Source organism: Homo sapiens, chromosome 5 (assembly GCF_000001405.40).
Source record: "Homo sapiens chromosome 5, GRCh38.p14 Primary Assembly".
NCBI classification, from domain to species: Eukaryota; Metazoa; Chordata; class Mammalia; order Primates; family Hominidae; genus Homo; species Homo sapiens.
In genome coordinates, this window is record NC_000005.10 from 141,994,732 (window position 1) to 142,013,986 (window position 19,255).

The 19,255-nt window shown below is 45.5% G+C and overlaps 1 protein-coding gene across 4 annotated transcripts, besides 2 other annotated features; it reads right to left on the reverse strand.

Moving 5' to 3' along the window:
* Positions 1-5,939: 5,939 nt before the first annotated feature.
* Positions 5,940-18,296, reverse strand: GNPDA1 (glucosamine-6-phosphate deaminase 1). Of its 4 annotated transcripts, none has more exons than XM_006714747.2 (8): positions 18,264-18,296; positions 17,557-17,608; positions 17,181-17,310; positions 13,068-13,169; positions 11,413-11,595; positions 10,201-10,385; positions 8,357-8,531; positions 5,940-7,398 (listed from the first exon to the last, which is right to left on the reverse strand). In XM_006714747.2, exons 3-8 carry the CDS (start codon positions 17,302-17,304, stop codon positions 7,298-7,300), a joined length of 870 nt encoding a protein of 289 aa, XP_006714810.1. In that variant the 5' UTR covers positions 17,305-17,310; positions 17,557-17,608; positions 18,264-18,296; the 3' UTR covers positions 5,940-7,297. The 4 variants fall into 4 exon arrangements, with proteins under 4 accessions (XP_006714810.1, XP_047272538.1, NP_005462.1 ...); XM_047416582.1 differs by having other exon boundaries at positions 18,184-18,296; NM_005471.5 differs by lacking the exon at positions 17,557-17,608.
* Positions 17,421-17,480: a silencer, noted in NCBI's record as "silent region_16465". NCBI's record gives its function as "represses an Ori minimal core promoter by ATAC-STARR-seq in GM12878 lymphoblastoid cells {active_cell/tissue: GM12878}" and the evidence as "EXISTENCE:reporter gene assay evidence [ECO:0000049][PMID:35858748]".
* Positions 18,152-18,421: a silencer, noted in NCBI's record as "silent region_16466". NCBI's record gives its function as "represses an Ori minimal core promoter by ATAC-STARR-seq in GM12878 lymphoblastoid cells {active_cell/tissue: GM12878}" and the evidence as "EXISTENCE:reporter gene assay evidence [ECO:0000049][PMID:35858748]".

Consider the following 19,255-nt stretch of genomic DNA (forward strand, 5'->3'; position numbering starts at 1 on the left):
GGGAGTGAGTTTTATGTAGAGAAAGGTCCAAGGACTGAGTCGTGGGTCACTCCAGATGCTAAGAAGTCAAGGAGATGAGGAAAAACCAGCAAAGACAGACAGTGGCCAGTGAGGTAGGAAAACCAGCTGTGTGTGGTGTCTTGGAAGCCAAGTCAAGTTTGAGGGAAGGAGTAATCAACTGTGTCATACGCTGCAAAAAGGTCAAGTACTGTGAGCTGTAACAATTGAAGCAGTCAGTATTGAGGTCCTTGGGGACTTTGACAAGTGCTGTTTCAGTGGAGGGCAGTTGCAAATCTAGAGTATGTTTGAGAAAGAATGGGGTGTCCTCATAATAAGAAAAAGGCTAAGCAAACCGATAATCAACAGCTTTTCTTACATCTGTCAGAGAATTGAGGTCACAGGGCAAACCTTCACCGCAAAAACAGGCAGGAAAATGGAGATCGGCTCACCTAAGGCAGAAGCTGTTGGAGACAGTAATTGAGATTTAAACATATTGCTGTGGGCTAAGTGTGGACTAGCTTGAGGGTTCAAAACCGGGAGCTTGTCTAAGGGAACCCCACACTTTGGTGGGTTTTACCTCGAGGAGACCCACTAGGTTCTCCTGTAAAGATGGCAGGAAAATTCCCTTGTGCTTTGGACACGGGAAGGGGGAAAGTAATCCTTTTGAAATACATCCAGGAAGAAATCAGCCCCAGATCTTCTGTTCTCCATGGCAGAGAACAGTTTTCTCAGGGAAAACTACTTGCAGAAGCCTTCTCTAGCTTAGGAGAAGGGCAGTTGGATGGCTCAACCCCCTTCTAGCCTTCCTGTCTCACATAGGAGGAGGAAAAAACAAGTCTCCACTAAAAAAAAAAAAAAAAAAAAAAAAAAAAGACAGATTTAATCATAAGAATATGCAGTGCATCTTCTCACCAATACGATACCATCAGTAGGGCTCCAGGATAACAGTGGATTACAACTGAGAGCTGCAAGACATGGACTCTATTTTAAGAAGGAATTTCTAGGGAAACCCAAAGACAACAGGGGAGACAAGGATATTGAGGAAAATTGGAGCCTCTAGCACCTACAGCGAACATCAGATGCAGCCTGTTAGCCAGATAAACATACAACTCACATTAAAGGTCTGTTTACGTAAGTTCTTGTTACCTAATATATCATGTCTGGCTTCAGTAAAAAAGTACAAAGCATGCTAAAAGGGAAAAAAGAAGAGACAAAGCGAGCATCAGAGCCAGACTCAGATATGTCAGAAATTTGAGAGTTATCAGACTGGGAATTTAAAATAACTGATTAATGTGCCAGATTTCTAATAGAAAAAATGAACAACATGCAAGAATAGTCACGTAGTATAAGCAACAGATGGAAACTTAGAATCAAAAAGAAATGCAAAAAAAAAAAAAAAAAAAGACCAGGTGCAGTGGCTCACGCCTGTAATCCCAACACTTTAGGAAGCTGAGGCGGGAGGATCACCTGAGGTCGGGAGTTCAAGACCAGCCTGACCAACATGGAGAAACCCCATCTCTACTAAAAATACAAAATTAGCCTGGCGTGGTGGTGCATGCCTGTAATCCCAGCTACTCGAGAGGCTGAGGCAGGAGAATAGCTTGAATCCGGGAGGCGGAGGTTGCAGTGAGACAAGATCGTGTCATTGCACTCCAGCCTGGGCAACAAGAGCGAAACTCTGTCTCAAAAAAAAAAAAAAAAAAGCTAGAAATAAAACACTGAAACAGACATGAATGACTTTGATGGGCTCATAAGACTGAACACAGCCAGAAAGAATCAGTGAACTTGAAGATATGTCAATAGAAACTTCCCAAATTGAAATTGAAAGATTTCAAAAAGGAATGGAAAATTTTTAAAAACAGCAGAATATCCAAGAACTGTGGGATAATTTTTAAAAGTGTAGGTTGGATGTAGTGTCTTACACTTGTAATCCCAGCACTTTGGGAGGCTGAGGTAGGCGATTGCTTGAGGCCAGGAGTTTGAGTCCAGCCTGGGCAACATGACAAAACCCAGTGTCTACAAAAAAAAAAAAAAAAAAAAAAAAAATACAAAAATTAGCCAAGCGTGGTGGTGCACACCTGTAATCCCAGCTACTCAGGAGGCTAAGGTGGGAGGATCGCTTGAGCCCGGGAGGTGGAGATTGCAGTGAGCTGAGATCATGCCACTGCACTCCAGCCTGGGCAACAGAGAACTTGTTTCCAAAAAAAAGGCAAAGTGTAGCTACGCGTAATGGGAATACGGTAGTTCCCCCTTATCCACAGTTTCACTTTCTATGGTCAACTGTAGTCCAAAAATAGGTAAGTGCAGTACAATAAGATTTTGAGAGGGAGAGAGACAATGCTCACATAACTTATTACAGTGTATTATAATTATTCTATTTTTGTAAATTTCTTACTGCGCCTAGTTTATAGATTAAGCTTTATCATAGGTATATGTGTATCAAAAAAAACTATCAGGTTCAGTACTATCCACGGTTTCAGGCATTCACTGGGGGTCTTAGAACATATGCCCTGTGGATGAAGGGGCGACTACCATACCAGAAGGAGAAGAGAGAATAGAAGAGTGAGAGATTAAAGTCAGAGTATGGGTAACTAGAAACTTTACTCTAAAGGAGATCAGAAAAATGAGGATGTACTTAGGGGGCAAATGAGGTACAGTTTTGTTTTTAAATCTTGTCTTGAATGCCATAGGAGTGGTCCAGGAGAGGACAATTTGATGCTGTAGGTGAGAGTTGGGAGTGTTGCCAGAGCAACGTCCTCAAGGAGGCAAGAGAGGATGGGATCTGGTGTGCAAGCAGAGGGCTCGGCCAAGGAGCAGGTAACAGGAAGACAGCAAGTGTGAGAGCAGGGCTGACGTCTGGGTATGTGATGATGGGAACTCGTGGACATTCTTTTCTGATTGCTTCTGTTTTCAAGGTCATTAGCTGAAAGGAAAGCTGGGATAGAGGGGTTAGAGGTTTGGGACCTTATGATTTAGTCTTTGAGGATACTAAATGGACTAGTCTGATTATTAATGTAGTATGACTGCCAGCTGGTGGTAATGGCTCCCCTGAGGTCCAAAGTACTATGTTCTGTTTTACCTGCCCATTATTGCATAACTCTAAATCCTGTCACACTGTATCTTACCGGAAATGGACGTGTTTCATTAGCATCTCATCACAGTAAGGATTTTGGTTCCCAGGAAAGAAGCATCAAATTTTCCAAGTTAGATCTCCTCAGTAGGCCAGTTGGCTAATCCATTATGTAATATGCCATGATTTCCCCTGATTGTTATGTACGATCACTACTCATGGGGACAACTATCAGGCTTATGGTTCAACAAGTACCAGTGCCTTCTAGATATCAAGGCACTGCTATAGGGGCAGAATAGAGCAGTATTTAACATCTACCTTCATGGAGTTTACATTTAGTGGGAAACAAAATACACGTCCAGTGGTAAAGGGTTCTGAGAAAATAGCGCACGGCAAGGATAGGAACTTGGGGATTGCAGCTTTATATTGGAGGATCAGGGAAGAGTTAATCTGATAAATGACATTTGAGGCAAGGCCTGAAGGACGGAAAGAGTAGAAGAGTAGGCCATAGGGGTAATAGCCAGGCTCTTGTGTTCACCTCTACTTTATAAACAGACTAATAGAAGGAAGGTGGCACCCATTGATGTCAACACTGCCACTTTTTACTAAATGTAAGTAAACACATTCTGTCTACTCTTCCTGAAATACAGCTCTGTGTGCACTTAATATTACATTTTCCTTTTCTTATCAAACTTGCTGTTTTACAAATTCAACTTGTTCCAGTCAGCTGTATTTAGTATTTCCTTTTTGATCAAATTGTGAAAACCTGTTCAGTGGGAACCCATTTAACTGGCTGTTTCGTCCTCTCAGAACTGCCTCAGACATTTTTGTTTTGTTTTTTTTCATCCCCAGACTTCCTGGGACAAGCCCCAGACTTTTTTTTTGGAGACGACGTCTTGCTCTGTAGCCCAGGCTGGAGTGTAGTGGCATGATCTTGGCACACTGCAACCTCTGCCTCCTGGGTTCAAGCGATTCTCCTGCCTCAGCCTCCCCAGTAGCTAGGATTACAGGTGCACGCCACTGCACCTGGCTAATTTTTTGTATTTTTAGTAGGGATGGGGTTTCACCATGTTGGCCAGGCTGGTCTTGAACTCCTGACCTCAGGTGATCCGCCCGCCTCAGCCTCCCAAAGTGCTAGGATTACAGGCGTGAGCTACTGCTCCTGGCCAGCCCCAGACATTTTTGAAAGCACCCTTATTTCCAGTAACAAGATATTCCAGGCCTACTCTGATCCCTACCCCCAAACATATTAGCTCCTGTACAAGGAGCCCTGGTATTAGAAGCCCAAGATGACCCAGGGGTGTACATCCCACTTGATCGCATAAGCACTGGTTGTAGCAGTACACTGCTGTTGAGCCACCAGGAAAACACAGACTCAGGAAGGACATCAGATCTTTCTAAGGTCTCAAGTTCATACAGGTATCTCCAGTTTAGCTGTCATCACTAAGTCCTTTTTTGTCTCATTTTAATGTAGTTACTATAACATACTTAAAATTTAAACCCTTCTTGACTGGATAAACAAAATATATGTCCACAAAACGGAATACTATACAGCAATAAAAAGGAATGGACTGCTGCTACGTGTTGTATGAACCTGAAAAATGTTATGCTTAGTGAAAAAAGCCAGACACAAAAGATGTCATGTCACATGATTCCATTTATATTAAATGACCAGAAAAGGTAAATCTGTAGACGCAAAGCAGACCAGTAGTTGCCTGGGGCTGGGGTTAGGAGTAGGGAGCTTTTGGGAATGATAGAAATGGATTGTGATGCTGGGCGCGGTGGCTCATGCCTGTAATCCCAGCACTTTAGGAGGCCAAGGCAGGCAGATCACTTAAGGCCAGGAATTCGAGACCAGCCTGGCCAATGTGGTGAAACCCTGTCTCTACTAAAAATACAAAAATTAGGTGGGTGTGGTGGTGCACACCTGTAATCCCAGCTACTGGGCAGTCTGAGGCAGGAGAATCACTTGAACCCAGGAAGCAGAGGTTGCAGTGAGCTGAGATCGCGCCACTGCACTCCAGCCTGGAAGACAGGGTGAGACTTTCTCTCTTTAAAAAAAAAAAAAAAAAAGGATTGTGGTAAGGAAGTGCAGTATTCTATAAACATAAAAATCATTGGATTTATATCAAAAAAATATATTTTTTTGAGATGGGGTCTTGTTCTGTTGTCCAGAGTTGGGGTACAGTGATGCGATTATAGTTCACAGCAGTCTTGAACTCCTGGGCTCAAGCAATCCTCTTGTCTCAGCCTTCTGAGTGGCTGGGACTACAGGCATACACCACCATGCTTGGCTAATTTTTAAAAATTTCGTAGAGACAGGGTCTTGTTATGTTGCCCAGGCTGGTTTTGAACTGCTGATCTCAGGTGATTCTCCTGCTTTGGCCTCCCAAAGCACTGGGATTATAGGCATGAGCCACTGCACCCAGCCTCAAAATAGTTAAAAAAATTAAACCCTTCTTTTAACTTCTATATCTACCTCCTTAATTGGCTATATTGCCCTAAGATATTCCATTATATTAACTTTAAAAAAAAAAAAACCTATATGTATTTTTGCATACCTTGCAATAATATCCCTCATCACAAATCTGCCTTAATCTTTATAACAGCTGTATCCTCGTTTGGATCTCAGGTACAGCCCCAACATGACAATTTATTGCTCATCTGTTCATTCCTACCCTTTTTCCTGTAAGTGCTCCATTTTCATAAAATCTTATTTTTCACTCTGATGATGGTTGCTATGCTTGTGGCCTTCCTGCAGGCTCTTGTGAGGACTGAATGTGAGGCTTTGCTTACCAGCTCTTTCTAAAATATATAAATAGCCCAGAGAGTCTTCTAAAATTGGGGGCTCAAATCCACAAATGACATGTTATTTGAAAATACTGGATTTAATAGAAAATATCACATTGTAAACAAATCCATTGATCCATGAGCTTAAAACAGAATGACGGCACAATCACATAGAAAAGCTAAAGACAAAACACTGGTACCAAACATAGCCCTTAGGCCTGGGCTAGGCTCTCAAAGGTCTTTCCCAGAAATGGAGGCAGCAGTAGCTTCAAACAGGCACAAAAACAGCCAGGAGGAGGCAGCATCCACTCCATGAAGGCCTAAGACAATGAAAGGAAGCCAGAGCAACAGACCACCTTGGGATCCGGGGAGAAGGGTAAATGGGCAAAAGGGTTGTATTTCCTGATGCTCTCAGAACATCAGACCACACCATGTGAATTTAAGCAGGACTATTTTAAGTGGGGAAACAATACTAGAAGCATTTGGTGTATTTTCCTGGCACTCACCTCCTAGGTAAGCAGGAGAGCGGGACACTCAGGAGTTGTGACTAAACTCACACTTAAGCTGCCTGCCCAGACCGTCCCCTTGGCTGAACACAACACTGAAATTGTGGCAGTGTCTGTTGCCCCAGTGGACCTCCCACTTACTAATGAGTATGTAAAACAGAGGAGCCACAGTGAGGCTTTCACAAAAACACAGGGCTCTGGGGGAAAAACGGCTTCCACCTTCTGCCTTTTGGTGCTGGAGAGTCCCTGAGGGAGAGAAGTTTGACGTGGCTGGGCCCCTTGAGGCTCTGGATTTATCAATAGAAGCCTCCTCTTTGGCCCCACCCACCCAAATCCACCCCCAGGTTCTCCTAGTTCAGAGAAAAGCTGTGAAAGTGGAAGAAGGAAGGGATCGTTTTCTTTCCATTGCACTTGTTACTGACCAAAGAGACTGCTTCCTTGCACTTATTTTAGATATTGAGAGTTTGTGCCTTCACTTGGAACAATGGTTCTCAACCAAGGGGCAGGCCTGTGCAAGAAGGACTCTCAAGACTCTTCAAAGAGGTGGTATCCAATATACATAAGCCCCTAATTCCCTCCCACTTGAAAATCAGTGCGTGTAAGGAGAGAAATTCCTGACGGGAGTGTGTCATATGTGTGAACCATGGCTGAAGCAGAACAAAAAGTTTAAAACTCCCAACCTGGGTTTGGCAGACATCAAAATGATGGAGTACATTTTGCAGATATTTTTTTTCTGATTAAGTTACAAACATTCTCCCTATAGCTAAACTCCGTGACTAGGCTCCCAGCCTCATGGCCAAGAACAATAAGTTCACCCACTTATCTGGAGTAACCATACTAGATTAAAGAAATACAATTCTTTCTTCTAAAGACAATTTCCAGAAAGACCTGCCTTTCCCTATGGGTACTTGACACTAGGTCCCAGCACAGGCTAATCGCTGTATGGTTTCTTCGAAGATTGGCTTTTCTCAGTTTCTTTCTCTTTGATACTGTACAAGGGGTCCACCAACTTGTTATGAACAAGCATTAAACCTACAAAAAATTAAAAACAAAAAGTAGTTAATTCAGGCAGTGGCAAGAGTTCCTTGATTATCAATCATAACATCCAGGAGCTCTCAAATTTTGTCTTAGAGCTGACACTTCTCTCTTTTCTCTATGATCCCCAAATGATAAACACCCTAAGAGTATAAAAAGAGTTATTCACAGTGAGTACTACATTCATGGAACTTTTATAAATTCAATCACTATGGGAGTTGGCTATTTAAAGGTTAGTCTTTTCAGCAAAGGACAAATTCCTAATTGACCTACTTGAGTAAAAGAGGATTTTCACATGTTTGCCTAAAGCAGTGTGCATCCTTTTAAAGTAAAAGAAGGGCTGGGCATCGTGGCTCACACCTATGATCCTAGCACTTTGGGAGGCCGAGGTGGGTGGATCACCTGAGGTCAGGAGTTTGAGACCAGCCTAGGCAACATGGCAAAACCCCGCCTCTACTAAAAATACAAAAATTAACTGGGTATAGTGGCGGGCACCTGTAATCCCAGCTACTTGGGAGACTGAGGCAAGGAGAATCACTTAAGCCCGGGAGGTGGAGGTTGCAGTGAGCTGAGATCACACCACTGCACTCCAGCCTGAGCGACAGAGTGAGACCCTGTCTCAAAAAGAAAGAAAGTAAATAAAAGAAAGGAATCGCTTGTTTAAGATTTGAAAAGAGAAAACCTGAGGCTTAATGGCACTGTGAGGTCACCACATAGTCCTTGGACCACATTGCGTTTTCTTTCCTCCTCCTCAGAGCAAACAGATCTCCAGAAATGGATCTTTGCAGTCACAGGCAGAAGAGAAATGACTGTGTAGTGTGATGCAGTTGGGTTTGATATTTCTTAAGATTACAGTTGTCAATTAAAATGACCAGAGGATGAAAGCTGGATCTACTCCTTACTCCTAGCACACCCTAAGCTTGACCACCTCCTCCTGGACCCACACCTCCCTCACCTTTGAAATACTTGACAGTCTTCACTTTCAGCTCCAAGGTGGCATCCTCGTCACACACAAACACGGTGCGGGGATGCTGCTGGAAGGCAGACACGGTCCACATGTGGTTCACTCCCTCCTCGATGGCCTTGTACAGAGCAAATGCCTTGTGAGCACCTGTGATAAGGATCATCACCTGGGGATCAGAAAACAAGTCTGTGATGGAGGGGAGCATTCCAGACACCCTAAACAGTTGTAAGGATGATTGTTTTTCATATCACATTGTAAGTGGTTACCATGCAACATACTTTTGCTCAGTGCTCCCTGTGCTTTATCACACAAATAACCCGAGGCAGGCAGCATCATTATCTCCATCTTATAAGAAAACAGAGCCCCAGGGGGTTAAATAACTTGCCCAGGGTCATTTATGACCCCAAAGTTCATGTTCTTGACTACCACGTGACAGTGCCTCCAGGTATCTTTGATGATGACTATGAAGGTGCCCTGTAAACAGACATGCCATGCCCAGGCCTGCTATCCCATCAGCTGGGTGACTCTACACAAGCACAGTTTGTGAAAGAGGGCTCCCAACCTGCACCACCAGCAAGGGCACTTTGCAAGCAATGGTGGGAGTTATCTGTGGGGCCTCTAAGGCTGAATCCCAGAAAGGTTGCCCCATTATCTGGTCACTTTCAGTTCACAGCATTAAACCTATGAACTAATGTGACTTGGGGTGATGGTTTTTGTTAATATATAATAAAACAAAGGCACAGTCTCCACTTAACAGTTAAAATATCGAGAATGTAAGTGATCTTAAAGAACTCAGCTCTATTCAAGGGCAGGAAAAGAGAAAAAAACTCAGTTCTGTAGATTTCCTTTCATTTTAATTCACATGTGCCACAGAGTTGTGAACAGGATTTACTGTTCCTTTCTTAAAAGATTAGAATGCAGAAGCAGAGAGGGAATGTGACTATTTCTTCCGGACCCCTCAGCAACCCAGAACTCTTTAGAAAAGATAATTTCCTGATTTCCAGCCCCAGGTCCTTTCCCAGATCAAGATGCCCTCATGATAAAGACGGCCCTAAACCTGTTTCCAAGCTGCAGAGCTAAAAACAGCGAGTAAACACCCCCACCCCACGTACTGATTGAAGATTACCCAACAGAAATCTGGGTGCCATCACTCATTTCACAAAAGTTCACTTTAAACAGGGAAGTTTTCACTGATTTAGATGCTTGTTTATTGGCTTGGGCAAAGAAATGTAAATCTAACATGTCTATACACGTCAGAAAGGAAGAGAAAATGCTTCTAAAGTTCTAATGAAAATAAGGAAATTGGAACCACAAAAAATTCACATTCAAATGATAGCCAATTTTTTAGGGGAAAAGCTAAATTCAGTTTAAAACACTTATATTTTAATCATACTTCACCACATTTATTAATCTCTGAGCACGGGGCTAGAAGCACAAGCATCCTTGGTGTCCCAACAGTGACCTCTACCAACTACAAGGAACAAGGGAACCCCTCTCTCCATACCTGGTCAGGTACAAATATTCCAACATTAGCGATGCTGGCCTCCTCTCTGCCTGTGAAAAGCATGAAAGGGGCCTGAGGCCAGAGAGCCTGCTGTCTCAGGCAGTCAGCCAAAGGCACCAAAAACGTGCTCAAGGGATTCACCTCACACTGGGAATAATGATGTCTTCCAAAGACGCAAGAGGAACAGTGAGTAACAGGGTCAGCAGGGATTTTAGCCTTATTTACCATGCCTTCATCTTTAATAAGAATGTAGGTGGTACCAGTATAGTTAAGATTAACAAGAGAAAGACAAGTCCACCAGCGCAAGCTGGTGGGGCCCTTATGCCCTTACCTCTCTAGCATCCATGACAGTGCCCACCCCCACCGTCAAGGCCATGGTGGGCACCTTGGTGAGTTCTCCATCGAAGAACCTAGCATTGGCCAGGATGGTATCCATGGCCAGCGTCTTCACACGGGTCCTGGACACCAGACTGGAGCCTGGCTCGTTGAAGGCAATGTGTCCATCAGGGCCGATGCCTATAGGGAGAGAGCCCGTGCAGCCCTGTCAGTCCCAGGGATCCAAGATTTCAAGAATGGACAATCTCTCCTTCCCTAACTAGGGTCTGAAGAAAAATCATTGAAAGCTGTGTCACCTTTCTCATTTGCAGCCCTGGGCAGGTACACCTTAAACATGTGATCTGTCCCCCTCCCTACCATTTCTTTCTCTTTGCCATACTGTCTCAGAGGAGACCCTCCCCATCATGTCTATCTGAGGCACACACAGACATTGTTAACTTGCTATCACCCTCAAAAAGCTGAGGAGGAAACACTCCAAACAGCTTCTGCCTCCCCAGATTGTCAGAAAAGTGGACCTTCTCTGTCTCTTCTGCCTGTAGTTAGAGGGTCCTGCTGCTGGGATAGAGGTGCAGTGAACAAAACACCCAGAGAACCTGGACAGGGGCTGCCAAGGTTCTAAAATCTCAGAGGATGAGAGGTCCTGCCCCCCTCCTCCCCACCTTGAAGTATAGAAGAGTGATCTCTAGAGCAATAAAAGGCAGTTCAATGTTACCCCTCATGGGTAACTCCAGAGGTGGCGATAGATGGATACACAGAAGGGCAGCCCAGAGGACCCGAGCACAAATCCAAGAAGCACACACTTGCTCCCACCTGTGAACCTTGAGTGAGTCACCTAACTTCTCTGGGGTTCAACTGGCTATCTACAGGGGCTGTGTGGAGCCTTCCGGAACTACATGAGTCCATGATGTTAAATGTTTAGATAAGTTCCAGGACTGATCCATAAAACCTTAAGACTGGGGAGTAGACAGAATCTCAGAGTCCAAACCCAAACCTCTCAGTTTACAGACAAGGCATCAAACTGCAGAAAGAGATCTCCAAGATAACATAGTTCCTGAGTAACAGAGCCAGGCAGGGCCCATTTCTCCCGCCTCTGTCTCTACGGTCACTAGCACACCCAGAAGAAGCTGTCTGCAGACAGGCATTGTGTCTTGTCCTCCTTCCCACGGGTCTGGCCCTGGACATGTGTGCTGCAGAGTGTCAAGCTCACCTCCAACAAATAGCTCGATCCCACCTGCAGCCTTGATCTTCTCTTCAAAGGCATCACATTCTGCCTGTAGGTCGACTGCATTCCCATCCAGAATGTGGGTGTTTTCTGGGTGGATGTCAATGTGCTTGAAGAAGTTGTTCCACATGAAGGAGTGGTAACTCTCCGGGTGGTCTCGAGGAAGGCCTGTGGGGCCGTGAGACACTCGGTTATGCCTAGGCCAAGCCAAAGCCCCTCTCCTAAGAAGGATGCCAGGACACCATGCTGACCTACAGAGACACTCCCAGGGGTCTGCCCATCTGGGAGCCTTAGGCACCAGCCCTCTGACCCCTAGCCACTCGGCACAGGCTGAGCCAGTATCCATAAGTGTCCACCCACCCAGTACCACCATCTGTGGCCACAGGGCTTGGCCAGAGTAACTGCACACCAAGGGCCTGGGAAATCCCCACATTCTGATCTGATCTGCTTTTCATAAGGCAATGACCATAGGTTAGAGGCTGGGGACACTCTGGCCACCTGGGGTAGGGCTGAACTCATCTTAGAAAGCAAGCAAGCACACCCCTCACCCTGTGCCTCTCAACCCACCATCCACTCCCAGTTCTACCCCACTCAGCCTGAATAAATCCCAGCTTGAACACCAGGTGGTTAGAGAGAACTATCTTAGGGCTTCCCCAGATCAACTTTTTTTTTTTTGGCCAGGAAAAAAAAATAATGTTTAATGTTAAGCATTAAGAATATGTAAAATCAGCCTTAAAAAGGAAGGAAATTTTGACACACACTACAACAATGGATGAACCTTGTGGACTTTATGCTAGGTGTAAGAAGCCAGTCAAAAAGACAAATACTTTATGATTCCAGTTATATACTCTAGTTTGATTCTAGAGTAGTCAAATTCATAGAAACAGACAGTAAAATGGTGGTTTCCGTGGCTGGTGAAGTGGGAAATGAGAAGTTGTTGTTTCACGGGTATAGAGCCTGAGTCTTACAAGATGAAAAGAGTTCTGGAAATTGGTTGCACAACAATGTGAATGCACTTAACACTACTGAACTATACACAGAAAGGTGGTTAAGATGGTAAATGTCATGTTACATGTATTTTACCACAATTTTTTTTTTAAAAAAAGGATGTTTAAAATGAAGCTATTACAAAAGGACTGGGTGAGGGAGAGGTGATAGAAGACCAAGGTATAGTCTTTCAGCAGCAGGAAGGATACCAATCTCAGGTCCCCTTCAAGTGTACCTGGCAGAAAGGGGAGCTGGAGGCCACACACAGAAGAGAAAGCACAGACACAGATCCTAGGGGAAACACCCGAGCCAGGATCCCACTTGCAATCATTTGTTCCAGAAAGAAATGGAATGGAGTTGAGGAGCAGGCAGAGGAGAAGGAGATACTCTAATATTTATTAAGTATTTGTTATGTATAAGAAACTTCCACATCTTTTATCATAAAAGGATTAAATGAATTTAATGCTTACAACCTGTGAGGTCAGCTTTATTAGCCCCATTTTATAGCTGAGTAAACCAAGAGGTAAGTATTGATAATTGAGCCTATCATCAAATGTCACTGGCTCCCCGATTCCTCTCCAGGACTGGGCCAATGAGAGGAGGAGCATCACTCTCCTAGAATCAGGAAAGAACCTTGAAAGAGAAAGACTCACCCACGTACTCATCCATGTTGAAGGTCTTCACATATTTAAAGGACAGGTCCCCATTCTTATAGTATTCAATCAGCTTCTTGTAGCAGCCAAGTGGGGTACTCCCTGCAAGAGTGGCCACACCCATGAACACCCCTTGCACCCCAAGTCTGGAAGCCCAGAGGGTTCACAGGAATAAGTCAGGGCTGCTCACAGGGAGAACCTGTCAGATCTGAAGTCCTACCCAGTACTCCAATCCTAACTGCCATCCATCCATTAATTGCTTGTTTAATGCCTATTTTGCCACTAGACTGTAAGCTCCAGGAGGGCAGGACTGTGTCTGCCTTGATCACTGCTGAATCTCCCAGTATCCAGCACACTGATGACTGAAATCACTCTGATTAGTACCTGAGTGAACATCAGACTTCATTATTGACATGATACTCCCTGAACAAGTAATATGTGCAAGGCACAGGGCCATGTGATAAGGACACAGGGGAGCAAGGGACAGTAGCTACTCTAAGATAACTCACTAGGAGTAGAACACAAAGCAGGAACGTCAGTTGTGATAGGGTAAAGCACAGGCTCACCCAGTGCTTCAGGGTTCAAGGAAGACTTCCCTGAGGAGCAGCGAAGCCCTAGTTGAGTCTCATTAAAAAGTCAATGTCATGGCTAGGCATGGTGGCTCACGCCTGTAACCCCAACACTTTGGGAGGCCAAGGCGGGCAGATCACTTGAGGTCAGGAGTTCAAGACCAGCCTGGAAAACATGGTGAAACCCTGTCTCTACTAAAAATACACAAAGTAGCTGGGCATGGTGGCATGTGCCTGTAATCCCAGCTACTCGGGAGGCTGAGGCACAAGAATCACTTGAACCTGGGAGGCAGAGGTTGCAGTGGGCCGAGATTGCACCACTGCACTCCAGCCTGGCCAATAGAGCCAGACTCTATCTTGAAAAAAAAAAAAAGTCAATGTCATAAAAACACACACACAATAAAAGGTAGGAGGACACTGTATATTAAAAGACTAAAGATGCATGAACCCTGACTGGACACTGAATTAATTTTTTAAAAACCAACCTATAAAAGATAAATGTGGACAATTGAGAAAAAATTGTGAACACAGTTTGCATATTAGATGATGGCATGATTTTTCATTTTCTTAGGTATGATGGTATCATGGTTGTGTAGGAGAATGTCCTTATTCTCAGGAGATATGTGCTGAAGGATTTAGAGATAAGTGTCAGGATGTCTGGAACTTATTTTCATGTGGTTCAGAAAAAAAAAGTGTGTGTGTGTGTAGATAAAGAACAAGAGCCAGAGAAAGGTAAAAGCAAATGTGGCAAAATGGTAACAATTGGTGAATTTAGGTGAATGGTATTGACCTGTTTTTTTCCTCTTTTTTGAATATTTGAAATTTTGCAAACTAAAAAAATGAAAGAAAAAAAACCCATCGAGATTACGTCATGTCACCCCTCTTTTCAAAACCCACCAATAGCTTCTCATTTCACCCTCAGCAACACCAGTTATTCTAAGGCTCCACAGAACCTGGCCCCTGGCTATGAGACCCTCCCTGCCACCATATCCAACACTGCACAGCCCCACCCCTGCCGACACACTCCCTATCCTTTCCTGCTTCATGTTTCTCCTTTCCTCTTATCACCATCTAACATACTCTATATTTTGCTAATTATTATGTCTCTCCCATTATAATTTAAGCCTCAGAAGGCAGAAGTTCATATCCTTTTTGTTCATTGCTGTATCCTTAGAGGCTAGAACAGCTTTGCATACAGAGGGTACTCAATAAATACCTGCTGAGTGAATGGCAGCTCCCCGCAGCCCACCCAAAATAATTAGTTGGTCCGTGTGACAAGGCCTTAGCTATGCCTGAGCCACATAGCTTCCTCTCTCCTGCCATTTTCCAAACTTCTAGCCTTCCCATGAATTCTCTGAACTTCCCAGTATCTAGCCAATAAACTCCTTTTCTGCTTAATTTAGCTGGAGTTGGTTTCTGTGGTTTCCACTCAGAACCCTGACAGGTGCTACATCTAACAGAAGCAATGTTCCAAGGAACCCGTGTGGAAACGCTGTCCTGTTGGTTCAAGCAGGACAGGCAGGGAGAGGCCAGGTTTTGGAGGGCCTTGAATGCCACTCTGAAGAGCTTGGATCTGACTCTGCAATGATGGGAACGAGGGAATGGTTTCAGAAGGCCAGACTCTGACCCATACAGAGGTTGGGTCTCTCCACAGTTAGGAGACAGGATGTTAGCACAGCCTCCGAGGGCCTGAGACATTGGTAGTTTCACAGGCACAGGTGGATACTACTCCCACAAACCTCTAGTGCAGAACTCAGCAAACTTTGGTCCACAGGCCAAATTTGGCCTGCGGCCTTTATTTTTTATTTTTTTAGACAGAGTATCGCTGTCACCCAAGCTGGAGTGCAGTGGCACAATCTCAGCTCACTGTAACCTCTATCTGCTGGGTTCAATTGATTCTCCTGCCTCAGCCTCCTGAGTAGCTGGGATTATAGGTGCCCGCCACCATGCCCAGCTAATTTTTATATTTTTAGTAGAGGCAGGGTTTCACCATGTTGGCCAGGCTGGTCTCAAATTCCTGACTTCAAATGATCGACCCACCTCAGCCTCCCAAAGTGCTGGGATTACAGGCGTGAGCCACCACACCCGGCCCTGTGGCCTGTTTTTATACAGCTTATGAGTTAAGAATGGTTTTCTTTTCTTTCTTTTTTTTTTTTTTTTTGAGACAGAATCTTGCTCTGTCACCTAGGCTGGAGTGCAATTGCACAATCATGGTTCACTGCCTCGACCTCCTGGCCCAAGCAATACTCACACCTCACACCGTAGCCTCCTCAGTAGCTGGGACTACAGGCATGTGCCACCATGCCTAGCTAATTTTTCTATTTTTTGTAGAGATGGGGTTTTGCCATGTTGCCCAGGCTAATCTCAAACTCCTGGGCTCCAGCAATCTGCCTACCTCAGCCTCCCAAAGTGCTGAAATTACAGATATGAGCCACCATGCCTGGCCTGGTTTTTACATTTTTAAATAGTTTTTTTTTTAATTAAAGAAGAATAATATTTTGTGACATGTGAAAATTATATAAGTTCAAACTTCAGTGTCCATACAGTTTTATTGGCATACAACCATACTCATTCACTTATATATTGTCTTTTCTTTTTTTGAGACAGGGTCTCACTGTCACCCAGACTGGAGTACAGTGACACAATCATGGCTCACTGCAGCCTCAATCTACTGGCTCAAGCAATCCACCTACCTCAGCCTCCCAAGAAGCTGGGACTACAGGTGAGCGCCACCATGCCAGGCTAATTATAGCTGCTTTCAAACAACAGAAGGGTTAAGTTGTTGCAACAGAGACTATATGGCTAGTGAAGTCTAACATATTTACTACTGGCCATTTACAGAAAAAGTCTGGACTGCAAGGAAGACCAAAAAAAAAAAAAAAAAGGAAAAAGAACAAGTTTGAAGACCCCTCCAACACACACACACACACATAGACACGCTAATGGATGGGTCAGGTAGGGCCACTAGGGCAAACCCATCCATCTCTGAAAGAAATAATCAGGACATTTGTCTTGAGGAGCTGGGGTCAAAATATCTTTCTGAAAAAGCAACATTTTGATTTTTTCCAAAAGAAATTAGAACTGTTTTTTATTTAGGTCCTGTGTTTAATTAAGCCTTACAGAAAATTACCTAAGTGACTATCTTTTCAATTCTCCCAAGGATGGTACTTAGCTGGTACCCCTCTAGATGCAGAGAAGAGAAATTAATTCATTACATAAAATGAATGCCTTAGGGTATCAGGACTTAATTCTGTTAAGAAACCCTGGTGGACAGGGCTGACTTAGGATGTAGCCTAAAAATCAAATTCTTCCTGCCAACCAAGATCCCTTCTGCTCCAGGATTCTGCAGGGACAGGCAGCGACTAAACCAACCCATAAGGGAAGCTGGGTCCTTTGTATGTGGAAGGGGCAGGAAGGTGCTCTCTCAGCACCAGTACCCCAGAGCCCCCGTGAAGTCCCTTGGCTGAGTGAGCCGGTGTACCTGGCCCCTGTTGCCTACTCTCTCCACCCTTATCCACGGCACCCTCTCCATCCAAGAACGCACCAGTGGGGAGCCCCAGGGTGAAGTACTTCTCTGGCCCTGGGTTAAACTGGATGATGCGGTTCCTGATGTATTTAGCCGCCCACTCGCTCGCCTGAGAATAGTGCTCCAGGATGATGAGCTTCATCTTGTCCTGCAGTGGGGGAGAGGGGATGACAGAAAGGAATCAATGGTAAGGGGCAGAGAAAGAGATGGAGGTGGTGGGAGAAGCTTCTCTTACCCAGCAACAATCCCCTTCCCAAGCTGTCTGAGCCAGGAAAAAGGCCTTTCTATTCACAGAGGAGCTAAGAGGCTAGGCCAGTCGTCTCCACCACCCACAGACCACGAGGAGGCGCCACTGGGGGCAGATCTGGGTTCTAATCTCAGCTCCTTCACTTACCACCTGCAGGACCTCGGTCAAAGGACCTAAGTTCTCTCTGAGCCGTTTCCTCCTATGTAAAAATTGGGACAATAGTACCTACTTCACAGACTTCACGACGGGTAATATGAAATGAGAGAATGCATGTAAACAACTTAGTATTTTCTACGTTGGCTGTTACCATCCAGATAGATGCTCGGCTCAGCCCCGCCTCCCTCATCCCTGCCCCTACCGGAACGGGATACCCTACCCCCTCCCCGCCGTCTACCCCAAGACTCTTCCTCCAGAAGTAGAGAGGTCATGGGATCATGCTGGGCCACTAGAGCAGGTGGGGCAATGAGCTCTGCCTGGGGAGCTGTGTGCTCTCTCTGGACTAGCGGAGGGGTCTTCCTACTGGCCCACCTTGCTTTGCGAACCCCTCTGGGTCTTCAGTTTCCCCCAAAGCACAAAAGGGAAAAGGTAATCGCTCCAGAAGGAGGACATTTTGTTCCCCCAGCACTGCGGTTAGTGGGAGTGTGAAGGAAAGAGGCGAAGGTGGCCCGCGCGGTCGTCGGTGGGGTACAGCGTGTCCCCCACCCCCATTACCACCCCATCGCCCCTCCGATCCCTCCTGGAAAATGTGTGAGGGCGGCTCCCCGGGGTCCCGACCCCGAGTGCCGTAGGGCTGGGGCAGCGCTCCGCGCTCCGGCCCGCGAGGAAGGTCCCCGCCAGCCCTGCTACCCACTTACACGGACGCCTCCCGCGGCGGCTGCAGCGACTGCGCCGGCGGCCCGGCCCCGCGCGGGTCACGTGGCTGCGGGTCACGCGGCGCCGCGTGCGCCGCCCGCCGGGCTGACTCAGCTTGGCCGCAGCTACCCGGACCGACTCTCCCAGGTGGAGGAGTTCCGGCCACTCAGTCCCACCTCGGTCCCTGGCCCCGGCAGGCCCTGGAACAGACCTTAAAAAACACTTTCCCTTGGGAGGCGGGGATTCGAGTCTGGTTTGTGTGTGTGTGTGTGCAAGAGGAGGGAGACTTGAGGGGCGCCGGGTCGCCCCCAGGAATACAACCCCCTGGACCTTGGGGCTGGGGCCGGGGGGTTTTAGTGCAGGGGTTGAGCTGGGGGCAGGCAAAGCAGAATCGCTTCCTCAGTCTCCTAGGGTTGGGCCTGGCTCTGCCTTCAGTTTCTTTCTTTGTTTAGATGCCATTTATTTACCCAAGTATTAAAACTTGTGTTGTTTAAAGTACAATTGGGCTTTTTAATGTCCTTTTTTAAAGATCAAACTTTGCAGCATTATATAATAGAGAAAAAGGCAGGCCCCTGGTTTCCCCAACTCCCCACACCAAGATAACCATTGCTTAGTTTAAGAGTACATTCTGAATTGCTTTCTTTGAATATGCTTACACTGTTATTTTACATAAATGGGAACACATACACATGAGGCTTATATATATCAAGGCTCGGATATTTGACCTGCATTATTTCACTTAATCCTTATTAAGCTCCAGTGAGGTAGGTTTGCCGTTACTTTTTAACAGGTGGAGAAACTGACGCTTGGAGAGAAAAATTAACTTGGCCAGAGGCACAAGTGGTTTCCCTTGTGCCTTCAATTCAGGGGGATCTGTCCAAATCCAAAATCCATGCTTTTTACCGCTAGCGGGCACTGCCTCCCAGCTGGTATGACTGGATTTGGGACGCTTCCATATCAGAAAAAGAGATCCATCTTATTCTTTCCAGTCAAC

What these genes read in the sequence shown, in the direction of transcription:
- GNPDA1 (XM_005268348.2), bottom strand. Translation starts at nt 18,018, where the DNA reads ATGTCCTCCTTCTGGAGCGATTACCTTTTCCCTTTTGTGCTTTGGGGG. An exon ending in AGAGGGGTTCGCAAAGCAAG is followed by an intron (nt 17,311 to 17,937) that starts GTGGGCCAGTAG and finishes CCCCCACTGCAG; the next exon opens with GACAAGATGAAGCTCATCAT. An exon ending in CTGTCATGGATGCTAGAGAG is followed by an intron (nt 8,532 to 10,200) that starts GTAAGGGCATAA and finishes TCTGATCCCCAG; the next exon opens with GTGATGATCCTTATCACAGG.